This window comes from Homo sapiens, chromosome 9 (genome assembly GCF_000001405.40).
Source record: "Homo sapiens chromosome 9, GRCh38.p14 Primary Assembly".
Classification (NCBI taxonomy): Eukaryota; Metazoa; Chordata; class Mammalia; order Primates; family Hominidae; genus Homo; species Homo sapiens.
The window spans coordinates 108,931,756-108,950,837 of record NC_000009.12 but is presented as its reverse complement, the minus strand read 5'-3'; the positions used below and the strand labels follow the sequence as shown (position 1 = coordinate 108,950,837).

The 19,082-nt window shown below is 40.3% G+C and overlaps 3 protein-coding genes across 11 annotated transcripts in view, besides 2 other annotated features; 2 read left to right on the top strand and 1 right to left on the bottom strand.

The window, feature by feature from the left end:
- The window catches only part of CTNNAL1 (catenin alpha like 1), a 70,923-nt gene extending 62,662 nt beyond the window's left edge, over nucleotides 1–8,261 (top strand). For 2 of the 5 annotated variants that reach the window (XM_017015250.3, NM_003798.4), the window contains 5 exons: nucleotides 2,604–2,652; nucleotides 6,820–6,876; nucleotides 7,022–7,135; nucleotides 7,794–7,877; nucleotides 8,004–8,261. In XM_017015250.3, coding sequence (XP_016870739.1) covers nucleotides 2,604–2,652; nucleotides 6,820–6,876; nucleotides 7,022–7,135; nucleotides 7,794–7,877; nucleotides 8,004–8,069 — 370 coding nt within the window. In that variant the 3' untranslated portion in view covers nucleotides 8,070–8,261. Of the gene's footprint in view, nucleotides 1–2,603; nucleotides 2,653–6,819; nucleotides 6,877–7,021; nucleotides 7,136–7,793; nucleotides 7,878–7,966 lie in introns of those variants that run through there. The other 3 variants (XM_005252291.5, NM_001286974.2, XR_007061368.1) reach the window with 3 other exon arrangements.
- On the bottom strand, nucleotides 94–16,438 carry ABITRAM (actin binding transcription modulator). 2 transcript variants are annotated; one of them, NM_017832.4, is made up of 6 exons: nucleotides 16,273–16,438; nucleotides 15,149–15,200; nucleotides 14,401–14,530; nucleotides 11,566–11,642; nucleotides 11,384–11,453; nucleotides 9,884–11,289 (listed from the first exon to the last, which is right to left on the bottom strand). In NM_017832.4, the coding sequence occupies exons 1-6, from the start codon at nucleotides 16,349–16,351 to the stop codon at nucleotides 11,152–11,154; spliced, it is 546 nt and encodes a 181-aa protein (NP_060302.1). In that variant the 5' UTR covers nucleotides 16,352–16,438; the 3' UTR covers nucleotides 9,884–11,151. The 2 variants fall into 2 exon arrangements, with proteins under 2 accessions (NP_001397919.1, NP_060302.1); NM_001410990.1 differs by lacking the exons at nucleotides 9,884–11,289; nucleotides 11,384–11,453; nucleotides 11,566–11,642 and adding an exon at nucleotides 94–331.
- Nucleotides 16,212–16,491: a silencer, noted in NCBI's record as "silent region_20160". NCBI's record gives its function as "represses an Ori minimal core promoter by ATAC-STARR-seq in GM12878 lymphoblastoid cells {active_cell/tissue: GM12878}" and the evidence as "EXISTENCE:reporter gene assay evidence [ECO:0000049][PMID:35858748]".
- Nucleotides 16,714–19,082, top strand: part of ELP1 (elongator acetyltransferase complex subunit 1) — a 66,608-nt gene continuing 64,239 nt past the window's right edge. For all 4 annotated transcript variants that reach the window (NM_001318360.2, NM_001330749.2, NM_003640.5 and 1 more), the window contains exon 1: nucleotides 16,714–16,974. The gene's annotated coding sequence lies outside the window, so the exon portion shown is untranslated. The remainder of the gene's footprint in view (nucleotides 16,975–19,082) is intronic.
- Nucleotides 17,242–17,471: an enhancer, noted in NCBI's record as "active region_28757". NCBI's record gives its function as "activates an Ori minimal core promoter by ATAC-STARR-seq in GM12878 lymphoblastoid cells {active_cell/tissue: GM12878}" and the evidence as "EXISTENCE:reporter gene assay evidence [ECO:0000049][PMID:35858748]".

Sequence of the window (19,082 nt, the reverse complement as noted above, 5' to 3'; positions counted from 1 at the left end):
CCTCATAGGGACACAATGTATCTCTATAAAACACATGGAAGACCAGTTATATCTCAAAGGCAGCTTCACTTCCAAGAGAAAAAGGAGAAAAGAAAGGGTTAATGTGTTCAATTTATTTTTGCAAAGTCACCAGAAAGACTGAAAAGATGAGCATCCACCTCCTTTTATGGGATGGGATAGGTGAGGCAGCAGACAGAAGTGAGGGATCCTGTGCTCGTGAAGATTCCTTCCTATAGAAGGAGGATTAAGAGTGGGGAAGATGCAGTCCCAAGCTTAGAGGCATCATTTTCCTCTTGATGACGTCTTCTACCTTTTCTAGATAGATAATTCTCTGGAAAAAGAAGGCAGAAATGATAGGAGTTAGAAATTTTGCTGCTGTTTAGCTGTCATTTGTCAGTACCTTATCATATTTTCCATCATTGGAGACCATTCCTTTGGTGGTTTCCTTCCATTGTTCTTAACTGTTGTTAGCAAGCTTATCCTGTGATTGAGTCTTCCCAACATGAATTTTGACCTTTTTAAGTTCATACCTTTTTAAAATCTGATGGCCCAGGCCTCTAAAAGAATGCAAAATGGAACTCCTGTGTTTACCCACAATAAATTTGCACAGACTAACTGAAATAACAAAAATCTCAGCTTTTGGCTGGAATCAAGCTAGTTATTTCCATGGTGATGAAAATCATGCTTTTAAAAAATGTTTTTGACTAATAAGACTTGGGGGAATATATTATTAATGAATATAGTTTGATATGTAAAATATTCCCAAATGAAGGGTTCATCAATAGACTTGCCTGGTTTTTTTTTTTTTTTTTTTGAGATGTAGCCTTGCTCTGTCACCCAGGCTGGAGTGCAGTGGCATGATCTCGGCTCACTGCAACCTCCGCCTCCTGAGTTCAAGCAATTCTCATGCCTTAGCCTCCCGAGTAGCTGGGATTACAGGCACACATCATGACGCCTGGCTAATTTTTGTATTTCTTTATTTTTTATTTTTTTTGAGACGGAGTCTTGCTCTGTCACCCAGGCTGGAGTGCAGTGGTGCAATCTCGGCTCACTGCAATTTCCATCTCCCGGGTTCAGGTGATTCTCCTGCCTCAGCCTCCCAAGTAGCTGGGATTACAGTTGTGTGCCACCACGCCCGGCTAATTTTTGTAGTTTTAGTAGAGATGGGATTTCACCATTTTGGCCAGGCTGGTCTCAAATTCCTGACTTCAAGTGATCTGCCCGCCTCAGCCTCCCAAAGTGCTGGGATTACAGGCGTTAGCCACCACACCTGGCCTAATTTTTGTATTTTTAGTAGAGATAGCGTTTCGCTGTGTTAGCCAGGATGGTCTCAAACTCCTGACCTCAAGTGATCTGCCCACCTTGGCCTCCCAAAGTGCTGGGATTACAGACATGAGCCACCGCGCTTGGCCAACTTTTTAAAAAAAGATTATAGCATCTCCTTTGATTAGTTTTATTTCAGAATATTTCAGGATGGCATGCTCAGTATTTTTTGTTTCAGTGTCAGAATTGTAGAGTATCCCATGGACACTGGGAAACATGAGGGGTTGCACTACGAGGGGAAGCTCTGTGGAATAGGACTTCTTCCTAGAATATAGTTATTGGATAGTAGTGATGACATTCCAGAATAGAAAATGGATTTTTCTGTAATAGATAAATACCTTGTAGCAGTTTTCCTGGGCAGATTTATAGCCCTTCTTCAGGTTACTGTTTAAGGTTGTCTTAATAATTTATATGATTTCTTAATGATTTACATGTAATCATTCATATTTCTTAATAATTTAGATATTTAAGGTTTTCTAGTGCCTTATAGTTTTTCAATATTTCAAACATACTAGTACCTTATTGTTTTTAATGTGGTTTTTGCTTCATCATTTCATTTGATTTTCATGACGGTTTACTGGAGAACAGGAATGATATGTTCACATCTCCTAAGTGGCAGAACTGGTTGCTACTAGATTCCAGATTTTCTGACTTATCCCTAGTCCATTGCTCTTCTTAATGCATTTGGTTATTCTTATTGTAATTTACTTTTCATTTTTTAGAGTTCTTAATTCTTCTTGGTAGTTTTTAATCTGCTGTTCCTCAATCTTCTGATGAGAGTGGTAGCACAAGTATTATTATGATTGCTTTATTCACTCAAAATAGAATGTTCAGTGATATGCCTCATCAAGGTTAGATAACTGAGTTACTACCAGAATTGAAATAAGAATTAGAAGTGAAATGTCCTGAGTTTTGGTTTGATCCTCTTTCCATTACGTAACAAAGGCTTTCGGTCAAGACATTATCAAATCTCACATATTTAATTTATGAAGTAAAATGAAAAAGGTTAAAAAGAGAAATGGAACTTAAATATTACTTGTTTAAAATTTTTTATATTATGAAATTAACATAAGGTTTACTTGGGGAAAAATATCTTAATAAATAATTGTCAAATATTAAAGTTGCTTTAAGCATAAAGTTACAATATTATCAGTCTATTCATATTATTCTTCAAAATTTAGGATTTGTTAATACACAAATGCTCTAAAATTTTAATATTATAAAGTCAATTTTCAGGTAATAACTTTTTGTTACCTTCTTAACAATTAATTTTATTTTAGAGGAGAGGGGCCACTGAAAACTTCCCAGGATTTAATTCATCAACTAGAGGTATGCCTTGTTTCCGTTTTATGCTAGTACTTTAATTTCGGGCTAAAAGTGGGTAATAAATGTTTTCCAGATGATTTATTATATCATGTGTATATGCTTACATCTGTACCTACCTGTGTATTACAGAGAGCAGTAGAAAAGTAGAAAGGTAGATGGCTTGCAATGACATTTTGCAAAACTATCCTGACCTCATTGGAAAGAAACTTAAATATTATGAGCATAAAGTAGAATGGGCTTTGTTGGTAGTCAATAGATGCAATAATAAGCTTTAGGTTTACCTAAGTAGGTGAAAATATCCTGTAAGCAGATGCAAATCCAGAGTTCTAGAAAGATTTTTGGCCTCTTCATTATTGAATTGGATAAAATATATTGATTAAATGAGATAACACATGAGAGAGTATCTGTTAAAATGCTTAAGACTATTAGAGGGTATTAAGTACATCTTAGTTTCCTTCTTTCCTTCAGTATTCATGATGATTTAGGGCATTAAAGGAGAGACAGATATGCTAACATCCACTCTTGTGCCATGTGTCTTAACAGGACTCCACATAGGCCCATCTGTAATTCTACTCCCTCTAGTTAGAGGCTTTAGATTGGCAAGTGGGTTGCAAAATTCCTTTTATGTTTTCCCTGATCCCCATGTTAGCCTGTTTGCCTCTCTAGAACCAAGAGCATTCTTGTGTGTAAATTTGAAATTTCTGTCACTTTATCACTCATATAGTCTCCTTTGGCATTCCCATGTACATCTGAGATTTGAAATTTCTATCACTTTAGGCCAGGCGCGGTGGCTCACGCCTGTAATCCCAGCACTTTGGGAGGCCAAGGTGGGTGGATCACGAGGTCAGGAGATCGAGACCATCTTGGCTAACACGGTGGAACCCTGTCTCCACTAAAAATACACAAAATTCGCTGGGTGTGGTGGCGGGCACCTGTAGTCCCAGCTACTTGGGAGGCTGAGGCAGGAGAGTGGCGTGAACCCGGGAGGCGGAGCTTGCAGTGAGCTGAGATCACGCCACTGCACTCCAGTCTGGGTGACAGAGCAAGACTCCATCTCAAAAAAAAAAAAAAAAGAAAGAAATTTCTATCACTTTATCACTCATATAGTTTTATTTGGCATTCTGTGGGAAAGGGATTTCAGCTTAAGAGGATGATTGTCAACATAATCAGAAGTATTATAGAAAATGTGTCTTCTGGATTTTTCTGTAAAGCAGACTATAAATGAGCTATTTCCCTTAAGATAGTTGAAATTCTGAATTTATTTTTTTTTTCAGTTTGGCCCAAGTCCATTCTGTCATACCGCCCTGTAGGGGTGTTTTACTACAAAAGATCCACTACTTACCTTCTTCCTATGTGAGCTTAGTCATTAAATCAATGTTCAATGAATTGTCTCCAAACTGTGATGAACATAAAATTGCATACTTCATTCAACAAATATTTATTGAACTTGTGCTATATGTCAGATCTGGGAGAACAGAGCTCTGTGGAGAAAAGTGAACAAAGCAAAGCTCCTGCCCCCATAGAGCTTATGTTCTAATGGCAGAATATAGACAATAAGAATTTAAGCATTCAGTGCACATATGTAAGTACTTGGAGATAAAATCACGTACGACTAGAATACAGAGGTGATAGAGGGGTGGTCAGAAAAGACCTCTCTAAGGAGCCAGTGTTTGAATAGAGACAGTAATGAAGTGAGAGTTGGATGGATAAATGTGGGTAGAGGATTTTAGATAGCCAAAACAAGTGCAAAGCCCCGAGGTGCAGGGGTAGGGCTGGGTGTATCAGAAGAGTAAGGAGGCAATTATTGATGGGAGTGAAGTGAGCCAGAAGGAAAGGGGTAAAATATGATGTCTCTGTAGGCCATGGGAAGGACTTTTTTTTTTTTTTTTTTGAGACTTAGTCTCGCTCTGTTGTCAGGCTGGAGTGCAGTGGCACGATCTCGGCTCACTACAGCCTCCGCCTCCCGGGTTCAAGTGATTCTTCTGCCTCAGCCTCCCGAGTAGCTGGGACTACAGGTGTGCGCTACCACGCCCAGCTAATTTTTGTATTTTTAGTAGAGACAGGGTTTCACCATGTTGGCCAGGATGGTCTCGATCTCTTGACCTTGTGATTCGCCCGCCTCAGCCTCCCAAAGTGCTGGGATTACAGGCCTGAGCCACTATGCCCAGCTGATCCTATTATGTTTTAAGTAAGGTTTTTGGCTTGGCCAACAGAGTGAGTGGTAGTGCCATTTTCTGAGACAGGGAACACTGAGGGAGAACACTAGATTTAGAGGGTGGAAATCGAGCATTTTGTTTTGCACATGTTAAGTACAAAGGTCAGATAGGATATACACTTGGCCCTCCCTATCTGCAGGTTTTGCATCTGCAGATTCAACCAACTATGGATTGAAAATATTCAAAACAGTAAAAACAGTCTGGGCACAATGGCTCACTCCTGTAACCCTAGCACTTTGGGAGACCAAGCTGGGAGGATCACTTGAGTCCAGGAGTTTGAGACCAGCTGGGGCAACATAGTGAGACCTTGTCTCTACAAAAAAACAAAACAAAAAAAAAAAAAACTAGCGGGGCATGGTGGCACACACCTGTAATCCTAGCTACTCAGGCAGCTGAGGCAGGAGGATCGCTTGAGCCTGGGAGGTCAAGGCTGTAGTGAGCTGTGATCACACCACTTCACTTCACTCTGGACAACAGAGTGAGACCCTGTCTCAAAAAAAAAAAAAAAAGGAAGAAAACCAATAAAATATAACAACAGTAAAAAAAAACAAAATACATTTTAAAAGGTTAGAGTTCCAAGGGAGGGAAAACAATACAGTATAACTGCGATTTACTTAGCATTTACATTAACTTAGATATTATAATTTAGAGATGAGATGATTTAAAGTTTATGGGATGATGTGTGTAGGTTATATGCAAATACTACACTGTTTTATTTAAGGGACTTAAGCATCTACAGATTTTGGTATCCTTGGGGAGGTCTGGGAACCAATCTCCCATGGATACTGAGGGATGACTGTACAAGACTGATGTCAGGATAGTTCAGGAGTGGAGAGAGAGACCTGGGAGTTACCAGCTTTCAGGTAGTTTTAAAACCATCATACTGTATGAGACAGACATGGATTTTGTCCCCAAGGGGTTTGCAGGCTAGAAGGAAAGAGAAAATTTGCAGAATAGAAAGTGGTAACATGAAGTGATAAGGAACACTTGGGGAAGTGAATCATTTCATTTGGTTGGAGTCTAGATGTAAAGCTTACTGGTTTCCCTTTTAAAGGGAAGGTTGCAAAGTACGATTTGACCTTGAGATCATTTTATCCAGTGATAGCAAGGTGTTAAGCCTTTTGAATAGAGGGTAAAAATTAACCCTGGAATTATTGCCTCCTCCTTCTTAGTATTCTTTAATTTATTATGAAGACCTATTATTTTCATTCACAAACCACTCTCAGATTTTCCCTGTTCTCTCCATTATTACTGACGCCACCTAAAACTAAGCCTTCCTCCCTTTACTCCCCTGGCATCTCACTCTAAAATAGTCTGCAAACCATTTTAACATAATATGCTAAATACTTCTGTCTTACCTGTACAACCTTCTTTTTCACTCTACTTCTCCATCATCCTGTTCATCTCATTAAATTATAGAATTCATGGTACATGGTGAATAGTGAAAATTAATCTGAAAAAAAGTGGCAACAAAAACCAACCACCTGGATTGGTTCTCTCAAATGTCTGGTTATGGAATATGTATGGGTGACAAATTTTGTCTTGCCTAGATGGAATTGGGAAGGTCCTAACCCTTTTGACCTCATGCTTGAAAATTCATCATCCTTTTATAATTGAGCATATTTGAGATGAGCTCTAGGTCCCTTGCGTAATCTAGACATAATTTGTGTGGCTGAATATCACAGGTCTGTGTGACCCTCCAGAATAATTGGAGGTCTGGTGTAGAGAAGCCTCTCCAGGGATGGATTCTGCATCTGGTCTGTGGAAACTCCTTCTGAAAACAGTTAAACCCTTGTGCATTCCTGGTACTGGAAAAAGTTTAGGAGTTCCTGACAGACTTTTTATATCTAGGCTTTATTTTTAAAATTCTACGTAAAAATTATTAGTAAGTATATTTCTTACCAACTATCCATAGACATCAGTCTAAAATAGTGGTGTTTTCTCTTTCTACCAGGTTTTTGCTGCAGAGGGTTTAAAGCTTACTTCCAGTGTTCAAGCTTTTTCAAAACAGGTAACACATGTCTACCTACCTGGAGCTGGTGGTGGTATTATGTATAACCTACTTTGGGGGTATAATATCAATGTATAAATGTGTTTAAGGTATTAAAGATGGAGTTTTGTTGCGGGCTGTTATAACTTGTTAAATTACATTTCAGCTGAAAGACGATGACAAGCTTATGCTTCTCCTGGAAATAAACAAGCTAATTCCTCTATGCCACCAGCTCCAGACAGTAACTAAGACTTCTTTGCAGAATAAAGTATTTCTAAAGGTAAAAGAGACATATGAAAAACTTTCACACATCTATCTTTATCTGGTTAAAGCCCCTTTTTCTTCAAATAAACTGTTAGTACCCACAGAAGGGCAATTTATTTCCTTTTTTCATGCCTTGTCTACAAGAATCATTTATTATCTACTCTCATAACTGACCCCAGAGAGTAGCAGATTCACCAAATAAAGTAGTTTTTTGGACATCATTAATTCCATAGCACTGAACAGCTGCCCTTCAATTCTGAAGTCATTACCTCTGCAACTAGGACACAGGTGCCTCCGAGTCTGGTCTCCCATAATTTGTCTGAGAGAATATGGGTTTGTGCCCACAAAATAGAGTGCAAGGAATTGCAAAGGATGGGATTTAATTCCACTATTTGGAGTGTTTTGAGAAGCCCCTAAACAGCCTGCAGTAGAATGATTAATTTTCCACCCACTCTTTCTGCTGGGGTTCCATGAGATAGACATGAAATCTAGGCAGCTACCCCTGCACCTGTGTCCTGGGGCTTTGAGTCAGCTCATGTGCCTAAATCCATATCTCTTTCAAGATCCCTTAGATTTCCATATGGAGAAATTTTATCATGTTAAAACTAAATAAATGGTAAGGTCTTTTAAGTACTACTTTTAGAATATCATTTGCATGCTTTTTGTCATTGTAGGTTGACAAGTGTATTACGAAGACAAGATCCATGATGGCTCTCTTAGTCCAACTTCTTTCACTTTGTTATAAACTGCTGAAGAAGGTGAGGTAGTTTTTCTATTTTAGACTCATACTTTAAAAAATGGTTTAAAAGAAAATAGTTACTACTTAATTTTGTAATTTTTTTTTCAGAGTGAAACCAGATACTAATTGTCTTAACTCTTTCCAGCTTCAGATGGAAAATAACGGATGGGTCTCAGTTACAAATAAGGACACTATGGATAGTAAAACTTGAGAAGCTTTTGGGGTCAGATCTCTGGAACATCATGTGATGAAGCTGACATTTTTAAAAATCAAATGATCCTTTATCTTTTCAGAAATTCATCAATTTTATAAAGAAAACAATATTGAAATTTTGCTCTATTTTCTGATCATGAAACTGATTGTAAAGCTTTTTGACAACTAATAAATGTCTTGGTAATTGCTAGATTCTAATTGTAGTGTGATTTTTAAAATAGAACATTGCACTAATGTTCTTTAAAAGTCAAACCAAATATCCCAACTGTCTCAAGGACAATTTAATCCACAAGAAGCTATTTTGAATATGTGCTTAGCTTTGGCATATTTTACCTTAACTGTTTTCTTTATCATCTAGATCACTAATGTCAGCAGCAAACATACAGTAGTCTGGGTGAATGCAGGGTTTTCCTTAAACCTGTGGACTCTTCAATCCCTCTGTTTACCAAGTGTGACAAAAATCCCCTTGATGACCCTGTCCCAGATTGTCCATGCCAGCAGCAAGTTTGTTCCCTAATAAGCATTTTGTACAGCAAGGGTGGGTCTGCTGTGCTGTGTATGTCCCTCACCTACTCCCAAAAGTAAGGTAATGGAACTCCACAGAATCCTGGAACAACTCCTGGAGAGTATGAGATGGGTTTTTGGTTCTAGTTCTAGCATAGCTGGCCAGTCTGCCCTGAATATTAGCTGGGATTCTAAGCCTATCTTATAGACTTAAAAGATATTTTGAACTTTCTCAGTATTGATTGATGGAATGGAAGACAAAGACAGAATAAGGAAGCCAAGAATCTATTTAAATTCTGAATATCACACATTTGAAATGTTCACTATAAAACAAAACAAAAAACATCTTTCTTTAGTCTTTTTAATTTAGGAGTTTAAAGCTTTTCTTGTTTTTGTGGGTGGGGTCATGATTGAAGGATCTGGTTTATAGGTTTTCTCCTTATAATATAGTATGGCCAACTTTGTGTTAGACTTCAGTCGTAGTATTTGTATCTTAATGCTTTGACATTCATTTTGAAATCTAACAGGGTATGTCAGTTATCAAATGGCAGTAGATAATATAAGCTTATCTGATGATCTTTATCTGGGTCAGCCACCACAATCAGTATTCACAAAAGATCCGGAAGAACCACAGTAATGCCAATTGACCACAGCTAGTCAATATTTTATTGAGGAAAATTTTCACTGTAGTCCTTCGGGAGAAAATGTGATGCACTCAGCTCTGTTAATAACCTTTTTAAAATCTTTCCTTAAACAGTCAAAATCATTAAGCATGATTTTTATTCTCTGAAACCAAAGTACTCTTTTAAATTACAATAGAAATAATGGGAGAATGATGTGAGGTAATGTTACATGTAAAATGTTATACACAATTCTTTTACTACGTTTACTGTCATAGTTTTATGACGCCTTCAAGAGTCATTGTGCTACTTAAAGTGAGGATCTGCTGGTTTGTTTATATTTTCAGCTAATAGCACCATCGTGGAGGTGTTTATCCACTTACTACATGTATCATGTCTGGGGGGTATATTTAGGGGGATAGTCATGCTGGCACTCAGATTACAAGTTTTTCCTATGAACCAAAATGTTGTTTTATTTACAAAATAAGTAAGTATTATTTTGTAAATAATTAAAACTTAAAAATTCCAACCCCCACTTGTACTTTCATTAGATAATATTTTTGCATACCTGAAAAAATACTGTTCTCTAGTGAAAGAAAGAGCAAGTGGGGGTTGGGAAGGGGTAACTTATGACTTCAACAGCATAAGAGGATAGATAACCAATGGAATTAATACATCGAATGATTTCTTCTGTATAAAAGTATATTTTATTTAAAAACAGTGATATTGACATGTATGTTATAGCCCTTACAGAAAAATAACACGTTTTATAGTCCTTTTATTTGAAATTCAGTGTAAATCACTCTTAAACTATAAATTCACAGTTGTTGGAGGTTTTTTTTTACTTTAAATGATGTGAAAGCATTTGTTCCATTCAAAGGCCCCTATGCCTTTGAATGACATATTCTCAGTAACTTCTTTGCCAGTAACTAGAGTATGTGAGACTGAGTAACTATAATGTGCATATTTCAAGAATTAGCTTCCCGCTGCATTATAACACATTTCCTAGGAAAGCCTTTGTATTTTTCATAGCCTTTTCACATATCCCTCATTTAAGAAGTCACAGTGTTGCAGTTTTACTTTGTTTCAGAGGGGAAGGCCATCTTGTTGGCATAAGGGGGACAGAAGATATAATATACTCTACACTCCGGCCTCTTCCCTACAACCTAAAAGGGAGAGGAGTTGAGGCAGATGGGCTAGGACTAGGCTTTTTGGTAGGCACATTATAGAAGACTGGGTAAGAAAGGTGGGTTAGGTTTTTTTAAACTTCAAACTGTTAGGAAAACGAGGCAAAAGCAATAACCATACCATATGTTCAAACAGAAGTAGGTTAAAATGTAGTAGTTATCCCTTGGTTTACATAGGGGATTGGTTCCAGGAACTTCCACATATACCCAAATCCATACGTGAGAACTCAAGTCCTGCAGTTGGCCCTTTGGAACCTGAGTATATGAACCTGCTCTATAAGTGGGTTTCGTGTTTGGTTAATGATATATTTTTGACTCGTTTATAGTTGAAAATAGTCCATGCATAAGTGGACCCTTGCAGTTCAAACCTATGTTGCTCAAGGGTCAAATGTATTTACTTCTGGATTATGGGATGATGGGTAAATTATTTTTACTTGGCTACTTAAAACTCTTCTGTATTTTCTAAATCTTCTTCAAAGAGCTTTGTTTGTTTTTAATCAGAAAAACATGCCTTGCATGCCAGTTGTTAGAGAGATGCAAGAGAACAGTGTGAGTACATGGGCAGGCCAGATCTGGCAGGCTGTAGACAAATGGGAACCAAGGCTCATTATGAAGACAGAGAGGGAAAACTAAGTGAAGCACTAGGCCTCCCCTGCATATGGCTGGCTGTTAGGTATGCTTTACATATACTGGTTCTTCTCCTTTAGTACCCTGATGGTTTAGGCCAGGTAACAAGAATCCCACTTTGCTTTTTGTTCCATGTCAATCCTCATGACGTAGCTGTTGTGGCATTAATGCGTTTCACCATGACTTCTTCATATTGTTTTTGTGTCAGTAACCCTTCTGTTATGCTTTTACTTTCTTCAAATTTGGGTAACACAACTGCAATGTAGCCTTCAGTAGATGGCTGGAAAGGAAAGAACATTTAGTACTGTCAAACGATGAAAAAAAAACCAATAAAAGGTATGTGGATGAGATCATATTTTTTCTCTCTCTTTTACCTTTTCTTGAAGAATAGATGGCTTATGGAGGATGTTTTCATTCACTTCCATCAAACGTCCTCTAACACAACTATTAAAAAAATTTAAGATTTCAGCATGTTTACTTAGTTAAAAAAAATTGTTTCTAAGAAAAAAAATTACCTCCCTTTGGTCTCCTAAATGGTGGCTAAAAAGTTACTCACCTAGACACAGTATATTCTTCACCATCTGAGCAGTAAATCTTACAGAGAGGTGCAAGCTCTGTTAGAAACTGTGCCCCCTGTGTAATGAGACGGAAGAAGTAATCAGTTGATGGACATTTCCACTTTCCTTTGAGAAGTAGCCCTTAGGTGTATAACAGGATGTATTCCTGGAACTGGTGTTTTAAATCAGTTACTTCAGTATATAAAAACCATTCATTAATTTCAGAACCTATATGAATATAAGTACCTACTGTGTGCCAGGTGCCATCCTAGGTCTAGGGAAAAAAGCTAAGACACATGATAAATGGGAATTTACAGACTGATAATATATTTTATCAACTGTAAATGAAAAAGCTACATATAACCAGGTATAAAGATTTCAAAAGTGTGGGAAAATCCATCAACAAGAAACAATATAAAATTCAACATGACACAGTATGACAGCAATATTGTATAAAGTTAGTTTCATTAAGATTTCTACCTCATTTTAATATTAGAACTTAATAGATAAAGGAACTTATTTACCAGGGTCAATCACTAAGACTTTTTGAAGAAGGGATATTGTTCTTTCCCCCCCCCCCCTTTGTAATTCCCCAGTGTGTTAGTAAGGGATATTTTTTCTAGTTAAGAAAAACAAAAACAAAAACATGCACTTTGAGGAAAATGTGGAAAACAAAAGTTTTAAGCAGCAAAATAAAAATAATTGACCCATGAGTCAATACTACATTTTGATGTGTATGTATTTGAATGTCATGGCATGGTTATTGTTTCATGTACTCCACTAGATGGATATACCTGGGGAGGCTCTCACAAGTATCTACAGGGAGGCTCATGAGAGCCAGTGCAGGCATGTTTCATGTGTTGCCCTCTTTTCTCCCATGAATTTTTCCTGTAGTGGACATAGGCATTTCAGGTTAAGATGCTATTCTTTATGACCCCTTTATTTACCACTCAAAACATTTTTAGATGGCATTCAGATATTACTATATTGGCTTCACTCCTCCGCACGTGGGTTCTTCATTTTAAAATACTAGAGTCATTGTGACTTTCTGCTTTTGGAAGGAAGGGGAAGGCTTGTGTTAAAAGAGCAGACACAAAAGAGCTAGGTCTGTGCCAAAACAGCAGAAATGTTTTGATGCCTTTTTGTCACCTCCTTTGGGAGAATGATTGGCAGTTCTGAGATCCAGTGAAAACTTACTGTAGTGGGTTCAATATGCAGGTCCCTCTCTGTTCTTCACTTGTAACAGGAGTGTTACTTTTTTTTTTTTTTTTTTTTGAGACAGGGTCTTGTTCTGTCATCCAGGCTGGAGTGCAGTGCTGCCATCATGGCTCACTGCAGCCTTGACTCCTGTGCTCAAGCAATCCTCTTACCTCAGCCTCCTGGGTAACTGGGACTATAGGCACATGCCACCATGCCCAGCTAATTAAAAAAAAATTTTTTTTTTTTGGTAGAAATGAGGTCTTGTTATGTTGCCTAGGTTTGTCACAAATTCCTGGCCTCAAGTGATCTTCCCGCCTCGGCTTCCCAAAGTGCTGGGATTACAGGCATGAGCAACTGTACCTGCCTTAAGTGTTACTATTTTGGACAGAGATTTATCATTGAAACTTCAGAAGTCTTAAGTGTTATTGTAACTTGTAGACTATCGTTTAAGAGAGGTGCATGCTTTTCTAAGTCCACTAGTTTCTTGAGTGAGGAAAAATCAGTAATTGTAAAGCACAATAAATCAGTAATTATTAGGGGACTTCAGGCCTACAAAGGGGGGTTTGAATAAGGGTCTCCTAGAATAGTGAGAGCAATTAGCAGAAACTCTTAGTATGAACTCAGTAAATGAACGACTTAAATCATCCACAGAAACTTTCCCAACCAGTGGGTTTGTTAAGACATTTTAACATGTCACTAAATTCTCCTTGGCATGATACTCTTTTAATAATCTGTCCATTTTGCCTAGAGTTACAGAGGGTAGAGATAGCATTCTATATAACCGAGTGTTGTGTGCAGGTACAGGGGGTGGGTACATGAGTATTACATTGACAATGCTTTAGGAATGGAAAAACAGTAAGGAGCAAATATATTTTCTCGTATTCATGTTTTTGTTTTTGTTTTTTTGAGACGGAGTCTTGGTCTTGCTCTGCCGCTCAGGCTGGAGTGCAGTGGTGCGATCTCAGCTCACTGCAACCTCCGCCTCCCAGGTTCAAGCCATTCTCCTGCCTCAGCCTCCCGAGTGGCTGGGATTACAGGTGCCCACTACTGTGCCTGGCTAATTTTTGTATTTTTATAGAGATGGGTTTTCACCCCGTTGGCCAGGCTAGTCTCAAACTCCTGACCTCATGATCCACCCACCTTGGTCTCCCAAAATGCTGAGATTATAGGCGTGAGCCATTGTGACCGGCCCATGTTTTTCTTTTTTTTTTTCTAACTCCCTTGGGAATTTTTTTTCTGTTTAATTTACATGTGGAAATATATGGTAAAGAAGAGTTAGTCACCTAAATTTTACAGAACTCGACATACTAGTTTAATACAACTAGAAGGGACAAAATATCTTGTTATATTGCTATTAGAGTTCTCCTTTCAAAGGCCTGCCTTCCCCCTCCTCCATCCTGGGCATTATAGGGATAGTAGCACAGAACCTAATATAACAGATACTACACCTCCTGAGATACCTAATTTGGGGGAGCTGAGAATTTCTTTAGGTGAAAGTATACCTAAAATTAGCACCTCAAACTGCTAGAGAAGTATGCTAAGCATATGCTACTGGATTCTAAGGTTCATTGGATCTGTCATTACCATGAATATAGAGGATGTAAGTAGATAATCACAGAATTACAGGAACATACCCGCTTAAATTTCCCAGAGACCTTGTTCTGAAGTCTGCTACAGTTGGTACTGATCTGATAGGAAATGCTTTTAATTGTTTTTCCACTTTGAAGAACTGGATGAGATTCTGCCAATGTGATGACACATATTCTACAAGGAGAAAAAGTTGATCCTGTGTGATTGCTTGGAATAATTTTTCCTCCCATAACTCCTATTGGAACAAGAATGTATGAACTGGTATTTGTTTAGTCAAACTATCATCTTCCCCCTTTTTCCTTTGGCTACTATTGGGGCATAACTGTAGAATAGAGAATACAATAATAAAAGAGAAAACAAGATTGAATTTCTTTCCCAGGAAAGGGAAGAGTACCAGAGGTCTTTAGGTAGGTAGCACTGGGGTAGAAGACAAAGAAATAAGGCATGCCTGTGTATACGAGATACCATACATGTCTCTACCGTAGCCCTTTCTGTGGGCTCTGAACAGTTCAGTAGTTGGGCACAGACTGGCCACTTCAAGTAGCAGCTGATGATGTGGTCCTCCATTTGGATGTTTGAGTAATCAAATTTATATGTTCAGAGTGGCCAGGCACTGGAATACTCATTCTTGCCAAACAAACTCCTATAATAATACCATTTCAACACAGTAGAAGATAATTAATGCATGTTTGTTTAGTGAACATTTGTTCAATCCAAGACCACAAGACCATACCAGGCTACAATACCAGGAAAAAAAAATTTTTGATAATTTAAAATTCCCAATTTGCTTACCGGTTAGAGTGCTGTAGTATACAGTGGTCCTCACAAAATTTTCCTTTGACATCTAGAAGAATACATGAGTCTGTTGGTGGCTGAAATCAATATTTACTACCACTATGTGGTACTTTCTTTGGGTCATATAGTTGATAATGAAGACTGGACACATACATGCTGCATGCTGATCACGGGTATCCCTTCATTACTCAAAAAGACATACCTAAAGGTTTCCTAGAAAGTATTTAAAGAGATCTGGCCCAGATAGAATAATTTATTCAACATTAAGGTAATTAACTCCTTGCTCCATCTTACTTTACACTCACTTCAAAATGAGTACACGTAGTATTTTTGCTAGGAAAATGCAATTAGCATCCCGTTCTTTATGATATATATTTTTTGTTGGTGGTTTCCAGGACTGTCCTGATGTTGGTGCAAGTCCGACATTCTGGGAAACCCCTCAGTCATGGGTGAACTAGGACAGGTTGGTCACCCTATGTTTGGCCAACAGAAAATATGCTACAATATATATTTTTTAAACTGAGTATAACCATTATCACTGAATGAAAGGAAGAAAGGAGAGTCCCCAACGATGCTCCCACCACTGGTTCTGCTTACACAAAACAGTACAAAAAGAATACCTACTTCTAAGTGGCAGATGGCGTCTCTTAAGGTAAATGTATAGATTCTTCTTCTTTCTAAATGTCTCTAATCTAACCCACCCTCTTCTCGCCATCCCTACTGCCTCTACCTTAGTTTCGATCTGATCATTTAAATAATTTTATGTATCGCTACTCCCTGTGAGAGTGAGCCCCTCAATCCCTCCAGGCACTTAAGGACTGTTGCAACCTAGCCCTCCGCCTACCTTTGGGGCCTCCGTTTAGAGTACTCATCTTACTGCGAGCAACACCCTAGAGCTCGCACTGCAATCGCCGGCCCCAGAATGCGCCCTGAAGTATTTCAGGCCACCAGGTCTTTGCAAATGCCATTCCCTGGGGCTAGACGGAACACAGAAGTCCAGTGCCTTCTGACGTGGGGACGGAGAGCCAGGGAGAGCGCGCGTGGCTTATGATCTGTCAACATAGTCTACACAGCATTAGGCCAGTGCGGCCAAGGAGGGATCAACATCACTCCGCACTTACCCGGTTTGTACCAGCGAGTGAAGTATCGATCCACGAGCGAAGGCACCACCGGCTCCGCGGCTTCGGGCTCGGTAGCCATGGCGACCTCCGGCGCCGCCACCCCCGCCCTCCGGGACCCCAGCGCTTCCTCCGCGCAGCCCGGACTGGGCGTGCTCTTCCGGCGCACAGCGCGTGTCGTGCGCACGCGCGCTGCTCTCAGGTCCGCAGGTTCCACCCCCCCCCCCGCCCCCCCCAATTACAGTGCTTTGGGGTTCGACATCAAAACAGAGATCAAATACAAAAGTTTGGGCAGATGGGCAAGAGGGCAGAGGGACAGGGGACGCGGCCAATGTAGCTCCTCTACCTCTACGGTGCCAGGCCTACAAAGAAGGCCGGCCGCCGTAAGTGACCAGAAGCGGGCCCGGCCTCGCCCCCTCCGCCTGGTGACGTCACTCCCGCGCCGCACTCCCAGTGCTGCGGCTGCCTAGTTGACGCACCCATTGAGTCGCTGGCTTCTTTGCAGCGCTTCAGCGTTTTCCCCTGGAGGGCGCCTCCATCCTTGGAGGCCTAGTGCCGTCGGAGAGAGAGCGGGAGCCGCGGACAGAGACGCGTGCGCAATTCGGAGCCGACTCTGGGTGCGGACTGTGGGAGCTGACTCTGGGTAGCCGGCTGCGCGTGGCTGGGGAGGCGAGGCCGGACGCACCTCTGTTTGGGGGTCCTCAGGTAAGCGATCCATCCAGGGTAGGGGCACGGGAGTGGACCTCTCCGCCGGCGGTGTCCGGGTGAAGGAGACCCGGAGCCTCCTCTGCCTGCTGCGGGCCGGGGACTGGAGTGCGGGCTGCACCACCTCTTTCCTAGAGCCTTAAATTCTTTTTGCAGCCTTGCCACCTGCTCCATCGGGGGCGCTGGGAGGCGCGACAGCCCAGGGATGCCTGCTGCCCCTCCAGCCGGACTTAACCCAGCCTCTTGATTGCTTGCAGGGGGTTGATAATAACGCTGAAAGCGAGAGTATTAATTCACGATGGAAGGCGGCGGTTAATAGAGGCTCGGGTGCTGTGGTGCGGGTCCTTTCTCGCGTGTGAGACTTTTTCGTGGAGGTGGTGTCCTCTGTGCTTCTCCATCTAACGTGGTGTTTTACGTGGCTTTCTCTCCCGTTAACGATGATCTCCGTGGAGACAGTGGCTGAGTAATCTTCAGATCCCAGTACTTAGCAAGTGCTCAGTCGGTGTTGGATGTAGGCCACAAACCGGATCGTAAAGAATTCAACTGTATATTGACAGCCACGGAACTAATCAATGAATAGATCCGTATGAAGAGTAAGCAAAAAGGCAGCAAAGACAGTTTTTCAGCTTGGGGACATAGAGTAGAAATGGTCTGTCCCCAAATAGTGGGAACTGTCATTTGGGGGAAGAATAGCAAGTTCTTTGCTTTCCAGGTCGCATTTGATGTGCATGTGAGACATGCTTGTGATTCTATCAGGAGGTTGAAAATGTGGGTTTAGTGGTAAGTTTGGGCTAATTCAGTCAGGGCTAGGCATTTAGGCCTAATCAGCGTATTGGTGATCTACCTGGTATATGTAATCATGCATGTGATGTCTAGCCAAGAGGTGGATAGTCGAAGGAGCAAGGGAAGAAAATGAAGCAGTTATCAGGAAATTAAGAGAGAATCCACGATTGACCTTTGGTGTGGAGGGATCTTTAGCACATTTAAGAACTGCGAAGAGTTTGAATCAGTGGAGGCAGGAAGGTTGGAGGTTGCAGATGTCCAAGAAAGAGTACTAATAGGCCTAGGTCCTGTGGCAATATGGAGGATATTCCTTTCCTAGCCTGGAAAGAAGTGGAGGGAAGTCTTCCTCCGAGAAGATAAGGGAATAAGGCTGATGGGTGTGAAATTTCAGAGAAACTAGTTTTGAGGCGTTTTTATGATGTTTAAAGATGAAAAACGCAGCCAGGCACGGTGGCTCAGGCCTGTAATCCCAGCACTTTGGGAGGCAGAGGCGGGTGGATCACTTGAGGTTAGGAGTTCAAGAACAGCCTGGCCAACATGGTGAAACCCTGTCTCTACTAAAAATACAAAAATTAACTGGGCATGGTGCCGGGCGCCTGTAATCCCAGCTACTCCGGAGGCTGAGGCAGGAGAATCGCTTGAACCCGGGAGGCAGATGTTGCGGTGAGCCGAGATCGCGCCATTGCACCCCAGCCTGGGCAATAAGAGCGAAACTCCGTCTCAAAAAACAAAAAAACCTGCATGATATGTTAGAGGTTCAAGTAATTTCTAGCAGTTCTTGAATATAATTGTCACCAAAACTTACTAAAATCATTGTCTTCCTCACTTCCATCATATATAAACTTACCTTTCTCTTATCCCACATTATATATTATATAATTCCTATGACACTTGACATTATCTTCTGTGTACTATTAGGATTGATTCATCTTTATTCTTTCTATGTCATACATATGTGGGGTGCCAAGATGAGAGAAGTCTCCTTGGATTAAAGTGACAATAAGACCGGTGTGGTCCTTGTAATTGCTACCCCTAACATAAGTTAGGGACTTACAATCATAAGCCTTAAAGGGATCTGAATATAAATAACTAGCACAGTAACATTTTTTTCCCCTACTTAGGTAATGTTATGCATTTAAGCAAGCCTGATTTTGCCAGACCAAAGTAGATGTCTTGTTTAGCACTCTTTTCTCACGTTTTATATTGTCCTGGGAAAAGCCTGGCCAGAAGAACAAAGTTACTGGAAGTAGTTATGTCAGGTCATCAGGGTCCTTGAAATGTTGGTCATCATTTTGAAGTAAATTGTTGTCATGTCCCAGTATTTT

Excerpts from the sequence above, each read along its gene's own strand:
- ABITRAM (NM_017832.4), bottom strand. The coding sequence starts at position 16,351 with ATGGCTACCGAGCCCGAAGCCGCGGAGCCGGTGGTGCCTTCGCTCGTG. Across the intron at positions 11,643-14,400 it reads TCTCTGGGAAATTTAAGCGG|GGGGCACAGTTTCTAACAGA; the intron begins GTATGTTCCTGT and ends CTCATTACACAG. Across the intron at positions 11,454-11,565 it reads GAAGAATATACTGTGTCTAG|TTGTGTTAGAGGACGTTTGA; the intron begins GTGAGTAACTTT and ends TTTTTTTAATAG.